Source organism: Homo sapiens, chromosome 3 (genome assembly GCF_000001405.40).
Source record: "Homo sapiens chromosome 3, GRCh38.p14 Primary Assembly".
Taxonomy (NCBI): domain Eukaryota; kingdom Metazoa; phylum Chordata; class Mammalia; order Primates; family Hominidae; genus Homo; species Homo sapiens.
Window position 1 is genome coordinate 72,945,378 of NC_000003.12, and position 12,664 is coordinate 72,958,041.

The following is a 12,664-nucleotide window of genomic DNA, read 5'->3' on the forward strand; positions in this document are numbered from 1 at the left end:
GATGCCTAGCATATATTATGTCAGGCATGGGCCAGGCACACAGACTTTAGATGTTACCTAGATACAGAAGATCCCAGCCCTCAAGGGGTTTCTATTCTAGTTAGAGGAGGCAAGCAACAGATGAGAAAATAATTTAACCAAAGGCCATTGACTGTGAGACATGACGGAAGGAAGGAAGTCGGGTGGTATGATGAAGAGAAAATGGAAGGAAGGAAGGGGGAGCCCTCTGGGAAAATCTTTCTAAGAAGGGATGAGTCAGACCTGAGTGTTCAAGAATAATGAGTGAAGTGCTCTGCCTGGCATTTGGGAAGCATTTGGTGACACTTCACCAGCAGGCCTGGGAAGTTGCTTATCATGAACAGCAGGAGCTCCCTGAAGCTTTACCTGCAGTCTCAGGGAAAGAGGGCAGAATGCGCAGTGACTGCTAATTCACCTACATCAGCAGATATGATTGGGAAGCATTAATTTTCACACTAATCACAGTTTTAATACTGCACTAATCACAGTTTTAGTACTTTAGGCAATGATCAAAAACAAGAGTTCACAAACCTAGAAACTGACTAAAGCATCAGGGGCAATACATGTATTTCATAATCAATAAAGATGCCATTTCTTTTGGCTGGGTGTGGTGGCTCACACCTGTAATACCAGCACTTTTGGAGGCCAAGATGGGAGGGTTGCTTGAGCTCAGGAGTTTGAGATCAATCCGGGCAACATAGCGAGACCTTGTCTCTCCAAAAAATTTAAAAATTAGCTAGGCCTGATGATATATGCCTGCGGTCCCAGCTACTGGAGAGGCTGAGATGGGAGGGTCAGCTGAACCCAGGAAGTTGAGGCTGCAGTGAGCCACGATTGTGACACTGCACTCCAGCCTGGGTGACAGAGCAAGACCCTGTCTGAAAAAAAAAAAAAAAAAAAAAAAAAAAAGGATGTCATTTTAAAGTACATTTGAGGGCCTTATCATCTTAATGAACTTAGGAAATAAAGTGAGAGAGAAGACATCCCAGTCGTAGAGAAGACTAAGTCATTCCAGAAGGCATGTCTTAGTTCAGGCGGCAAGAACACAAGACCATAAGTTAGGTAGCTTATAAACAACAGAAATTTACTTCTCGGTTCCAGAGGCTGGGAAGTCTAAGATAAAGGCACCAAAAGATTGATTCAGCATCTGTCTGGTGAGGACCTGCTTCCTGATTCATAGATGGTGCCTTCTCACCGTGTCCTCCTGTGGTGGAAGGGGTGAGAGAGCTCTCCGAGGCCTTCTTTATAAGGGTGCTAATCCTATTCGTGAGGGCTCCACCCTTATAACCTTATCACCTTTTAGGACTCTACCTCTTAATACCATCACCTTGTGGGTTAAGATTTTAACATATGAACTTGGGGGAAACATAAACATTTAGTCCATGATAAGATGATTCCTTTGTTAAATTAGAAATTTATAGCTTTAATTTTGTTTTTATTTGTTTAAGAGACAGGTCTCCATCTGTTGCCTAGGCCTCTGTGCAGTGGTGTGATCATAGCTCACTGCAGCCTCAAACTCCAGGGCTCAAATGATCCTCCCACTTCAGCCTCCGAAGTAGCTAGGACTACAGGTGCACAGTACCACACCCAGCTACTTTATTACTATTATTGCTATTATTACTATTATTAATATTATTGAAGAGATGAGGCCTTACTACATGGCCCAGGCTGTTTTCAAACTCCTGGCCTCAAGCGATCCTCCCACCTCCTGCTCCCAAAGTGCCCGATGAGCTACCACACCTGGCCTATTGTTTCAATTTTGTGTTTTCTTTCTGACAGAGGGGACTTAAATATTTGTTTCTATCTAAGCAAAGACAAAGATAGAAACAAATATTTAAGCGCATCTCAGATAGAGAAGACCCTGGCTGTAGACGGGGAGAGAATTAGGAGCTCATTGGCTTTCTATTAGGATTATTTAGCTCCCTATCCACTGCTGACTTTGACGGTAATAGAGCAGTAATGAAAGGTGTAAGGCCCTGGAGCCAAAAAAAAATGGATTGTGCTACGCGGTGGAGGAACACTGGTGACAGCAAACTAAGTTGGAGAGGTAGACGGAGTGTGTATATCCTATGGAGCCTTTCATAGACTATGGTACAGGTGTGACTATTTGAAATGCAGTGAAGACCGGGCACAGTGGCTCACACCTGTAATCCCAGCACTTTGGGAGGTGGAGATGGGTGGATCACTTGAGGTCAGGAGTTCTAGACCAGCCTAGCCAACATGGTGAAACCTTGCCTCTACTAAAAATGCAAAAAAGTAGCCAAGTGTGGTGGTGGGCACCTGTGTTCCCAGCTACTCAGGAAGCTGAGGCAGGAGAATCGCTTGAACCCAGGAGGCGGAGGTTGCAGTGAGCCAAGGTCACACCATTGCACTTCCAGCCTGGGCAACAGGAGCAAAACTCCATCTCTAAAAAAAAAGAAAGAAATGCAGTGAAAGGCCTTGGAGGGGTTTGAGGATAAAAGTAGGATGATTTATTGTAGGTTTTTGTTTTTGTTTCAAAGCCCTCTGGACATTGCATAACGATGTAAGGATCAACCCATCAGGAAGGCGTAACCATCTCAAATGAGTGTACACTTCATAACAAAGCTTCCAGTTCCACGAAGCAAAAACATTCCTAGACAAATAGAGAAAAAGATAAATTCACAGAGTTGGAGATTCCAACATTCCTCTTTTAATAACTAACTATCATTAGTGGGAAAATGATTAATGATTCCCTAATTATACCTGTTGATATAAATGAATTTGCAGTAACTCCACATTTCTCCATCCCTTTTTCTTTGTGTCTGGATGTAAAGCTCCATGGAGCTCGTGAAAACCAGTGAGGATATAGAAGACCTTGACAACACTATCAACCAAGTGACCTCATCAACAGCTATAGCATTTATAGACTACTCCTCCCAGCAACTGCAGCATAAACTTTTTTTTATCAAATGTACAGGGAACATTCACCAAGATAGGCCGTATCCTGGGCCATAAAACAAGTCTCAGTCAATTCGAAAAGATGGCAATCCTGCAGTGTGCTCCCTGACTACAAGGGAGTTAACTTAGAAGTGGATAACAAAAAGATATCTGGAAAATTCCAAATATTTGGAAATTAAACAAGACACTTGTACAGAACTGATGGGTTGAAGAACAAGTCACAATGGAAATTAAAAATCCCGGGCCAGGCGCAGTGGCTCACGCCTGTAATCCCAGCACTTTGGGAGGCCAAGGCGGGTGGATCACGAGGTCATGAGATCGAGACCATCCTGGCCAACATGGTGAAACCCCGTCTCTACTGAAAATACAAAAATTAGCTGGGCGTGGTGGTGGGCGCCTGTAATCCCAGCTACTTGGGAGGCTGAGGCAGGAGAATGGCTTGAACCTGGGAGGTGGAGGTTGCAGTGCGCCAAGATCATGCCACTGCACTCCAGCCTGGTGACAGAGCAAGATTCTGTCTCAAAAAAAAAAAAAAAAAAAAATCCCTTTGACTGCTCTGTGAGGAGTGGATTGGAGGGGGCAAGTGCAGACACAGGGAGCCCAGGGAACAGAACTTTACAGAATTCTAGGAGAACTGTCATGGTGCCTTGGACTTCGGGTGAGGAAGCAGAGAAGGAGAGAAATGGACAGACTCAGACATTTTGGAGGTAGAGCCTGTGTGACTTGCTGAGGATTGGATGCGGGCAGTATGGGTAGGCGAGGAAGCAAGGATGACCTAGAGGTGTCTGGGTCAAGTCATTGAACATATCTTCCTGTTGCTCTCAGGATTAAGTCCAAATTTGTCAACATAGTTCCTGATCGGGCACCTGCCCACTTGGACAGCCTGATCTCTCACCCCTCCTCCCACTGTAAACTCCAGCCCTGGAGCAACTGGCAGTCCTCCCTTTGCCATGCCCTCTCTTTTCACATGCTCTTCCATGTTTGCCCTGCTCTCCGCTTATTTATCTCTTAGCTTAGATGTCACTTCTGCTGGGAAGCTTTCCTTACTTTTCCTCCAGCCTGGCTTAAGGGCTCTGCTTTGTGCTTCTGTGCTAACCTTCTCATCATCACTTTGCTTTGCCCCTTTTCTGTCTCCCCCATTAAAGCTCCTGTGAACAGGGAATATGTATCATTCTTTCTTTCTTTTTCTTTTTTTTTTTTTTTTTTTTTTTTTTTTGAGATGGAGTCTTGCTCCATCACCAGGCTGGAGTGCCATGGGGCGATCTCAGCTGACTGCAACCTCCGCCTCCCGGGTTCAGGCGATTCTCCTGCCTCAGCCTCCGGAGTAGCTGAGACCACAGGCACGTGACACCATGCCCAGCCAACTTTTCTTGTATTTTTAGTAGAGATGGGGTCTCACCACGTTGGCCAGGATGGTCTTTATGTCTTGACCTCATGATCCGCTCGCCTTAGCCTCCCAAAGTGCTGGGACTACAGGTGTGAGCCACAGTGCCCGGCCTCATTCTTTCATTACTACTACTACCATAGCCAGTTGCTGGTTACCTGGGCTGTCAGTCAGGAAACCTAGCCCTCATGAGAGTGGGATGAGAATAAGATCACATAGCATTTATTGAGTCCTTGCTGTGTGTGTGCCAGGGGCTTCACACACATCATCTCATTTAATCATCCTGGCAGCATTATGAAATGGGTTATCAATCCCATTTACAGGAAGAGGAAACTGAGACTTAGAATGCTTAAGCAGGCCAGGCATGTAATCCCAGCACTTTGGGAGGCCAAGGCAGGAGGATGACTTGAGCCCAGGAGTTCAAGACCAACCTGGCAACAAACCAAGAGCCTGTCTCTACAAAAAAACAAAAAAATTAGCAGCTGGGCACAGTGGCTTACACCTGTAATCCCAGGACTTTGGGAGGCTGAGGCGGGCGAATCACTTGAGGTCAGGAGTTCAAGACCAGCCTGGCCAACATGGTGAAACCTCGTCTCTAATAAAAATACAAAAATTAGCCAGGTATGGTGTCACAGACCTGTAATCCCAGCTACTCCAGACGTTGAGGCAGGAGAATCGCTTGAACCCAGGAGGCAGAGGTTGCAGTGAGCCGAGATCACGCCATTGCACTCCAGCCCAGGCGACAGTGCGAGACTTCATCTCAAAAAAAGAAAAAAGAAAAAATTAGCTGGCCGCGGTAACTCATGCCTGTGGACCCAGCTACACAGGAGGCTGATATGAGAGGAACACTTGAGCCTAGGAGGTCAAGGCTCAGTGAGCTATGATTGCACCACTGCACTCCAACCTGGGTGACAGAGTGAAACCCTGTCTAAAAAAAAAAAATGGGCCAAAAGAGCTTGTTCAAGATCACATAGTTAGTGGTGGAAATGGAATTTGAACGTAGGTTGCCAGATTTCAAACCTAAAACTTTTAACCACCAAGTCATACTGTCAAACTCAGACTAGAATTACAACAAATTGAAAATGAATTTGAAGGTGCACTGGTGAGCCCCTGATCGTCTTGCTGCCCATGGCCAGTCTTTGGCTCACACTTGGTGCAGATGGCTGAGCAGGGTTCACTGGAGGTGGGTGCCCAGGTTAGGGTGGTGCATGGAGCAGGAGCAGGAAGATCCATTACATTATAGCCAGCAGCATCGGGTACAGAGTACTATTGTGTGCTGCCTTTTAACCCCGCCCCTCACTCTAAAAAAACAAAGGCCTCATTGCTAGTGCTGGCTAATTTCCATAAAGGAATTAGAATGGCTAATTTTATATCCTTTCGATAAATATCCCACATCCCATTATAACATGGCCAACAATGATCCTCTTCAAATTAATACCAGCAGTAATTGCTGCAGAATTAGCCTCTAGAGATGCAATGTTATCAAAAAGTGATTTTTTTTTTGGTCTTTTGTTTTTTCAGATAAAGAGTAAAAAGTCCTTATGTACTTATTTTCAGTCCAGGTACTGAGTGGATCATATTAGGAAGGTTCAAAAACTTCATTGCACTGCTTGACTCTGACTACATAAAAGGCTTTTTGTGGTTGACACGTGTTTTGAAGTGCTGTGAGCATTGATGCGAATGGTAACTAATTATACTTGACATTTTAAAAGCGAAAACACAGAGACTTCTTACAAAACCACTATTTATTGAGTACTTACTATGTGCCAGCCACTGTACTGAGTACTTCGTGGGTTTCATTTCACTGCATCCTTTTAACAACTTGGGTGGGTGGTAAACTGAGGAACTTGTCTGAAGTCACGAGGGTATTACCTCAGGCTGCCAAGACTTGAACTCAGGAATACCAGACTCACGATTCTTAAGTGCTGTTTTCTCACATTTCTCTGAGATGTACCCTTAGGGCTACTTTTGTGTGTTCCTTTGAAATATGATCTACATACCAAAATGAGCATGCTGAAACTTTAAATGCTTAGTTTAAGAAGCAGTCAATATTCAGAATTCTTCCTAATTTTGAAATTAGAATCTTCAAATTCTGTTTTTTTGTTTTGTTTTGTTTTGTTTATTTTTTTGTTTTTTTGTTTTGTTTTATTTGTTTTTGAGACAGAGTCTTACTCACTCTGTCTCCCAGGCTGCAGTGCAGTGGCACAATCTCAGCTCACTGTAACCTCTGCCTCCCGGGTTCAAGGGATTCTCCTGCCTCAGCCTCCTGAGTAGCTGGAATTATAGGCACGTGACACCATGCCCAGCTTTTTTTTTTTTTTTGAGACAGAGTCTCACTCTGTCACCCAGGCTGGAGTGCAGTGTCATCATTTCGGCTCACTGCAACGCTCACCTCCCGGGCTCAAGCAATTCTTGTACCTCAGCCTCTCGAGTATCTTGAATTACAGGCACACACCACAACCCCCGGCTAATTTTTGTATTTTTAGTAGAGACAGGGTTTCAGCATATTGGCCAGGCTGGTCTCAAACTCCTGACCTAAAGTGATCTGCCTGCCTCAGCCTCCCAGGCACCGTGCCTGGCTTAGAATCTTCAAATTCTTAAAATGGATGTTAAGATAATCTTCATTTATGAAATGGTAGATGATCAGTATTTTTAATTTCATTTTATTGGTTTGCAACATCCATTTCTCTAGTAGGTGAAGAACAAAAGATAAATCCTGTGGCTAATTCTGTGGGCTTCAGAATTACTCAGGTCTGAAGTTCCTTTGATACTTGTATCGTGTAGCACCCATGTTCATCAGTTTTAAATATTGGGGATCCCAGTGGCATGTTATACTAGTCTGCTTGGGCTGCCGTAACAAAATACAAGACTGGGTGGCTGAAACAACAGAAATTTATTTTCTCATGGTTCTGGAGGCTGGAAGTCTGAGATCAGGGTGTCAGCATGGTCAGGTTGTGGTGATGGAGCCTCTTCCTGGCTTGCAAATGGCCACCTTCTCCCTCTGTCCTCACATGGCAGAGAGAGAGAGAGCACTCTCTGGTGTCTCTTCTTATAAGGGCACTGATCCCATCTTGAGAGCCCTATCCTTCTGACCTCAGCTAAACCCAATTATCTCCCAAAGGCCCCTTTCCAAAAGCCATCACATTGTGGGTTAGGACTTCAACATATGAATGTTGGGGACACAGACATTCAGTCCATAAGTGTTATGGTGTTGGGATGATGTTAGGCCAAGGATACAGGAAGATTCAAATCCTTCCTTGGTTAAGCTACCCCAAAGTTTGAGGAACAATGGCAAAACAAAGCAAATAATGCTACTACTAGCTAAGGCTTTGAAGTCTCAAATCACCCAGCAAAGCTCTGGAAAGCTAAGCAGTTCGCACAGGAGAACTAATTTACCTAAGGTGGCTTGAATCATCCAAGCAGAGGTTAGCAAACCACAGCCTGTGAGCCAGGAGTGGCTTTTACATTTCATATGGTTGAAAAATCAAAAGAAGGATGTTTTGTGACATCTGAAAATTATATGAAATTCAAACTTCCGTGTCCTGAAATAAACTTTTATTAGGACACACAGCCACTCTCTTAATATTATTATTGTCATTATTATTATTATTTTGAGACAGAGTCTCTGTCGCACAGGCTGGAGTGCAGTGGTGTGATCTTGGCTCACTGCAACCTCTGCCTCCCAGGTTCAAGCAACCCTCCCACCTTAGCTCCCTGAGTAGCTGGGACTATAGACGCATGCCACCATGCCTGGCTAATTTTTCTATTTTTTGATAAAGATGGGGTTTCACCATTTGCCCAGGCTGGTCTTGAACTCCTGGGCTCAAGCTATCTGCCTGCCTCGGCCTCCCAAAGTGCTAGGATTGAAATTAGAATCTTCAAATTCTGTTGTTTTGAAGAAACTGTGCCCGGCCCACTCTCATTGTTTATCTGTTATCAGTGGCTGCTTTCATGTTACAACAGCAGATTTGAGGAGTTGCAACAGAGCCTGAAATATTTACTATCTGGCCCTTTAGAGGAAAAAGGTTGCCGCATGCTGATACACAAACAAAGCTAGCCAATGACTTGCATTGCCTAATCCCAAGACCAAGTCTTAGCTAAAAATACATTTTAGGCGGGTCACAGTGACTCACACCTGTGATCCCAGCACTTTGGGAGGCCAGGGTGGGAGGATCACTTCAGTCCAGGAGTTTAAGACCAGCCCAGACAACATAACAACACCTCGTCTCCACAAATAATTTAAAAAGCCAGGCATGGTGGTGTGTAGCTGTCGTCCTAGCTACTCGGGAGGCTGAGGTGGGACGACCACTTGAGTCCAGGAGATTGAGAGTGCAGTGAGCCAAGAGCATGCCACTGCACTGCAACCCGGACAACAGAGCAAGACCCTCATCTGCAAACTATATATTTTTTTAATTTTTTATTTTGAAATGGAGTCTTGCTCTGTTGCCAGGCTAGAGTGTAGTGGTGCTATCTTGGTTCACTGGAACCTCCGCCCCCTCCCCGGGTTCAAGCGATTCTTCTGCCTCAGCCTCCTGAGTAGGTGGGACTACAGGCGCACACCACCACGCCCAGCTAATTTTTGTATTTTTAGTAGAGACAGGGTTTCAACATGTTGGCCAGGATGGTCTCGATCTCTTGACCTCGTGATCCGCCTGCCTTGGCCTCCCAAAGTGCTGGAATTACAGGCCACTGCTCCCAGCCTGTGTGTGTGTGTGTGTGTGTGTGTGTGTGTGTGTATTTGTATTTATATATATTTATATATATTTTAAAAGATGCAGGGCCCCCCATTAACACTAGAAGAAATGGATCCAAAGATGGAGAGTATTTACCCCCAAGGCTTGGTATGAGCTGCTTTAGAGATTGTCCACTTCAGGTTGCAGTAAGCCAAGATCAGGCCACTGCACTCCAGCCTGGGCGACAGAGTGAGACTCCATCTCAAAAATAAATAAATAAATAAATAAATAAATAAATAAATAAATAGAGATTGTCCACTTCAGGTTTTCTAATGCCACACTGGATGTTCCAAGGAAAACCTAAGAGAGAAAAACAAGTGGCCTTATTGGAAGATGGAAGAAGTGAGAGCCACAATAATTTGCTGATGTTTTCTTTTTTTTGTAAGTTCAACCCTTATCAAATATAGTCCAGGGTCCCAGAATTGGGCTAATCCAGACCAAGATTTATCTTCTTTTAAGTCTCTACCTCTTGATTGACACTCATTCCTCAAGTCAAAGGAGAAGGAAGGAATGGAAGCTAAGAGTGGTACCTTTCCAGAATTTAATACGAATCAACAAAAGTTGGTAGCATTATTTACCTATCAGGCTACTTCCTTTGTTTCTGACCTGTTTTTGTTTTGTTTTCTTCCCTCCTCTCCCCTTTACACCCACTCCTTACACACAAAGGTGATTTTAAAGGATGTGGACTCACTTCTCTACGTGGACACCGATGTCCTCTTTCTGAGACCTGTTGATGACATCTGGAAGCTTCTGAGGCTGTTTAATTCCACCCAGCTTGCAGCCATGGCCCCTGAGCACGAAATCCCCAAGATTGGCTGGTACAGCCGCTTTGCTAGGCATCCTTTCTATGGCTCTGCAGGAGTTAATTCAGGAGTCATGTTAATGAATTTAACTCGGATAAGAAGTACCCAGTTCAAGGTAAACGAGTGCTTTAAAATTCCTTGTTTAAAGACTGGGAGTTGGTCTTGTCAACAGTGGCACTACCAGAGTGTCAATATGCTGATTTTGGAAATTGGGTGGCCTATAGGTGAGGATAAAAGGAACCAGAGAAAAGTATTTAGAAAATTATAGAATATTTGTTTATTCAGGAAAAGCTCAGATGGCAATGGAATTTAAAGCTTCAGCAAAGTCGCCATTCAGGAATACTATGTTGCATTTCTGAATTCCATAATGTTTGAACGCTTCATACCCAATGCTTCAAAGACTATGTAAAATTTCTTCAAATTACCCTAGGGATTATTTATGTAAGTCCGTGACGATATTTGTATAAGGATGTTCGTGATCTCATCTTTTATCCTAGCAAAGAAGTGGAAAGAAGCTAAAAGAACATCAGTAGAGAACTAGTCAAAAAAAATTATCCTCCTGGCCAGGGGTGGTGGCTCACACTTGTAATCCCAGCACTTTGGAAGACCAAGGCAGGTGGATCACTTGAGGCCAGGAGTTTGAGACCAGCCTGACCAACATGGCGAAACCCTGTCTCTATTAAAAACACAAAAATTAGCCAGGAATGATGGCGCACACCTGTAGTCCTAGCTATTCAGGAGCCTAAGGCAGGAGAATCGTGTGAACCCGAACAGCAGAGGTTGCAGTGAGCCAAGATCACGCCACTGTACTCCAGCCTGGCGACAGAGACTGTGATTATTTGTATGCCTTAGAAATTTCCAGAAGAATTAATGGGGCATGGTGTCACGTGGCTGTAGTCTCAGCTACTTGGGAGGCTGAGATGGGAGGATCGCTTGAGCCCAGGAGGTCGAGGCTGCATTATAGCCACTGCACTTCACCCTAAACAACAGAGTGAGACCCTGTCTCTAAAAAAAGAAAGAAAGAAAGAAAAAGACATGTCCAGAAGAATACCTAAGAGACCATTAATTGTTAACTGTGGATACGTCTGGGGAAAATGGGAATGGGATATGGAAGAAGAATATTTTTACTTTTTTATTTTATATTTTTGTGTGCTGTTTGAATAATTCAGTCTGTGAATATGTTACTTTTATTTTAAAAGTAAATCATTGTTTAAGACAAGGAAAGGTGTTTTTCCTTAAGATACCTGAACTCTGTTATCTGTATTTTGTTCCTTCACCTCACAGTGAGGAAATAAGCCTAAGAAAGATGTTCACCTAAGAAAGGTGAAGTAGAGTAGAGAATCCTGAAGTAGAGACTGCTGTTGAGAAAGACTTCGCCTCTTAGGTGTGGGGACTCACGCCTATAATCCCAGCACTTTGGGAGGGAGGTGGGTCACTCGAGGTCAGGAGTTTGATATCAGCCTCGCCAACAGGGGGAAACCCCATCTCTACTAAAAATACAAAAAGTTAGCCGGGCGTGATGGCGTGCACCCGTAGTCTCAGCTGCCTGGGAGGCTGAGGCACGAGAATCGCTTGAACCCGGGAGGTGGAGGTTGCAGTAAGCCAAGATTGTGCCACTGCATGCCAGCCTGGGCGACAGAGCAAGACTCTGTCTCAAAACAAAAACAAAAACAAAAACACAGGAAGGAAGGGAGGGAGGGAGGGAGGGAAGAGAAGAAAGGAAGGGGTTCAATTCCAGGCATGGTTTTCTGAGTAGAAACCATAGGTTCAACTTTCAGTCCCTGGTCTATCTAGTATCCGTGTGTACAGCTGAAAAAAGCGATACAATCAACAGCCCAAATTTTGCTTTGTTCTGTGACCTGAGAATAGCAGGACCCCTCCTGTATTTGTTTCCCTCCTCTGAAGGGAAGAAAACTAGTCCCTTTACATTGTTTCTCAGTGGACAAAATGTATTTGCTTTGCTTCAGCTGTTCTGATGGTTTTCTTTTTTCCAGAACAGCATGATTCCAACAGGCCTGGCTTGGGAGGACATGTTGTACCCTCTGTACCAGAAGTACAAGAATGCCATCACGTGGGGAGACCAGGATTTATTAAATATTATTTTTTATTTCAACCCAGGTAGGTTATCTTTGGAGAATGCCTTTTGTGTAGGAGTACACTCAGCACACCCCACGGAGCACATTCCATGCCCGGGTTGCTATTGACTAGGCTTGAATTGTGCACAGAGGAGCCTGTGTTCCCCAGCGAAGTTTGCCCTTTCATCCGCCCCCCTGGGTATCTGATGGAGGCGGGGCCTTGCACTACTGACACAAAAGGCCAAATGTTGAAACTTCCAACACTGGACTCATTTTTAGAGAGTATCTTTTAGGTTTTGCTATACCATTCTTCTAAGAAGTGCAGTTAAAATTGATGTGAGGCGTGAAACTAAATGGAAATATTATAATCTAGGCGGGAGACCCTGTAGCCTGAACAATTGCTAGATTGAAGGGAATTGATTCTCAGGGTCCTTGGAGTTCAGGAACATATTCAGGGTCAAAACATCCTAGAAAAAGAACTCAGATCCCCAAATCCGTTTTGCTTTTCATCTGAGGCAAAAGAAATTCTTCTTATATTGTTAGGTGGATGATTTGGTGGGGTAGAGGGAAAAAGGGAGATGAACATTTCTGGTCTGTGTGTTTATATTAACACGTAAAGCTAATAAAATTCTTTTTTCCTCTTCCTTGTTAAAACTTTATTCTTATTAAAAATTAAAACTCCCAGGCACAGTGGCTCACACCTGTAATCCCAGCACTTTGGGAGGCCAAGTT

General features: G+C 44.1%; 1 protein-coding gene across 2 annotated transcripts in view, besides 3 other annotated features; it reads left to right on the forward strand.

Annotated features, from left to right (window-relative positions):
* GXYLT2 (glucoside xylosyltransferase 2) overlaps positions 1 to 12,664 on the forward strand; it is an 88,870-nt gene that overhangs the window by 57,332 nt on the left and 18,874 nt on the right. The window contains exons 4-5 of one of the 2 annotated variants that reach the window (NR_138564.2): positions 9,721 to 9,972; positions 11,857 to 11,975. Coding sequence is in view for 1 of the 2 variants with exons in the window: in NM_001080393.2 (NP_001073862.1) it covers positions 9,721 to 9,972; positions 11,852 to 11,975 (376 nt within the window). In the remaining variant the exon portion in view is untranslated. Of the gene's footprint in view, positions 1 to 9,720; positions 9,973 to 11,851; positions 11,976 to 12,664 lie in introns of both variants that reach the window. The other variant, NM_001080393.2, reaches the window with a different exon arrangement.
* Positions 5,398 to 5,527: an enhancer, noted in NCBI's record as "active region_20094". NCBI's record gives its function as "activates an Ori minimal core promoter by ATAC-STARR-seq in GM12878 lymphoblastoid cells {active_cell/tissue: GM12878}" and the evidence as "EXISTENCE:reporter gene assay evidence [ECO:0000049][PMID:35858748]".
* Positions 11,941 to 12,235: a silencer, noted in NCBI's record as "tiled region #10271; K562 Repressive non-DNase unmatched - State 23:Low". NCBI's record gives its function as "represses a minimal TATA promoter and a strong SV40 promoter by Sharpr-MPRA in K562 cells {active_cell/tissue: K562}" and the evidence as "EXISTENCE:reporter gene assay evidence [ECO:0000049][PMID:27701403]".
* Positions 11,941 to 12,235: an enhancer, noted in NCBI's record as "tiled region #10271; HepG2 Activating DNase matched - State 5:Enh". NCBI's record gives its function as "activates a minimal TATA promoter and a strong SV40 promoter by Sharpr-MPRA in HepG2 cells {active_cell/tissue: HepG2}" and the evidence as "EXISTENCE:reporter gene assay evidence [ECO:0000049][PMID:27701403]".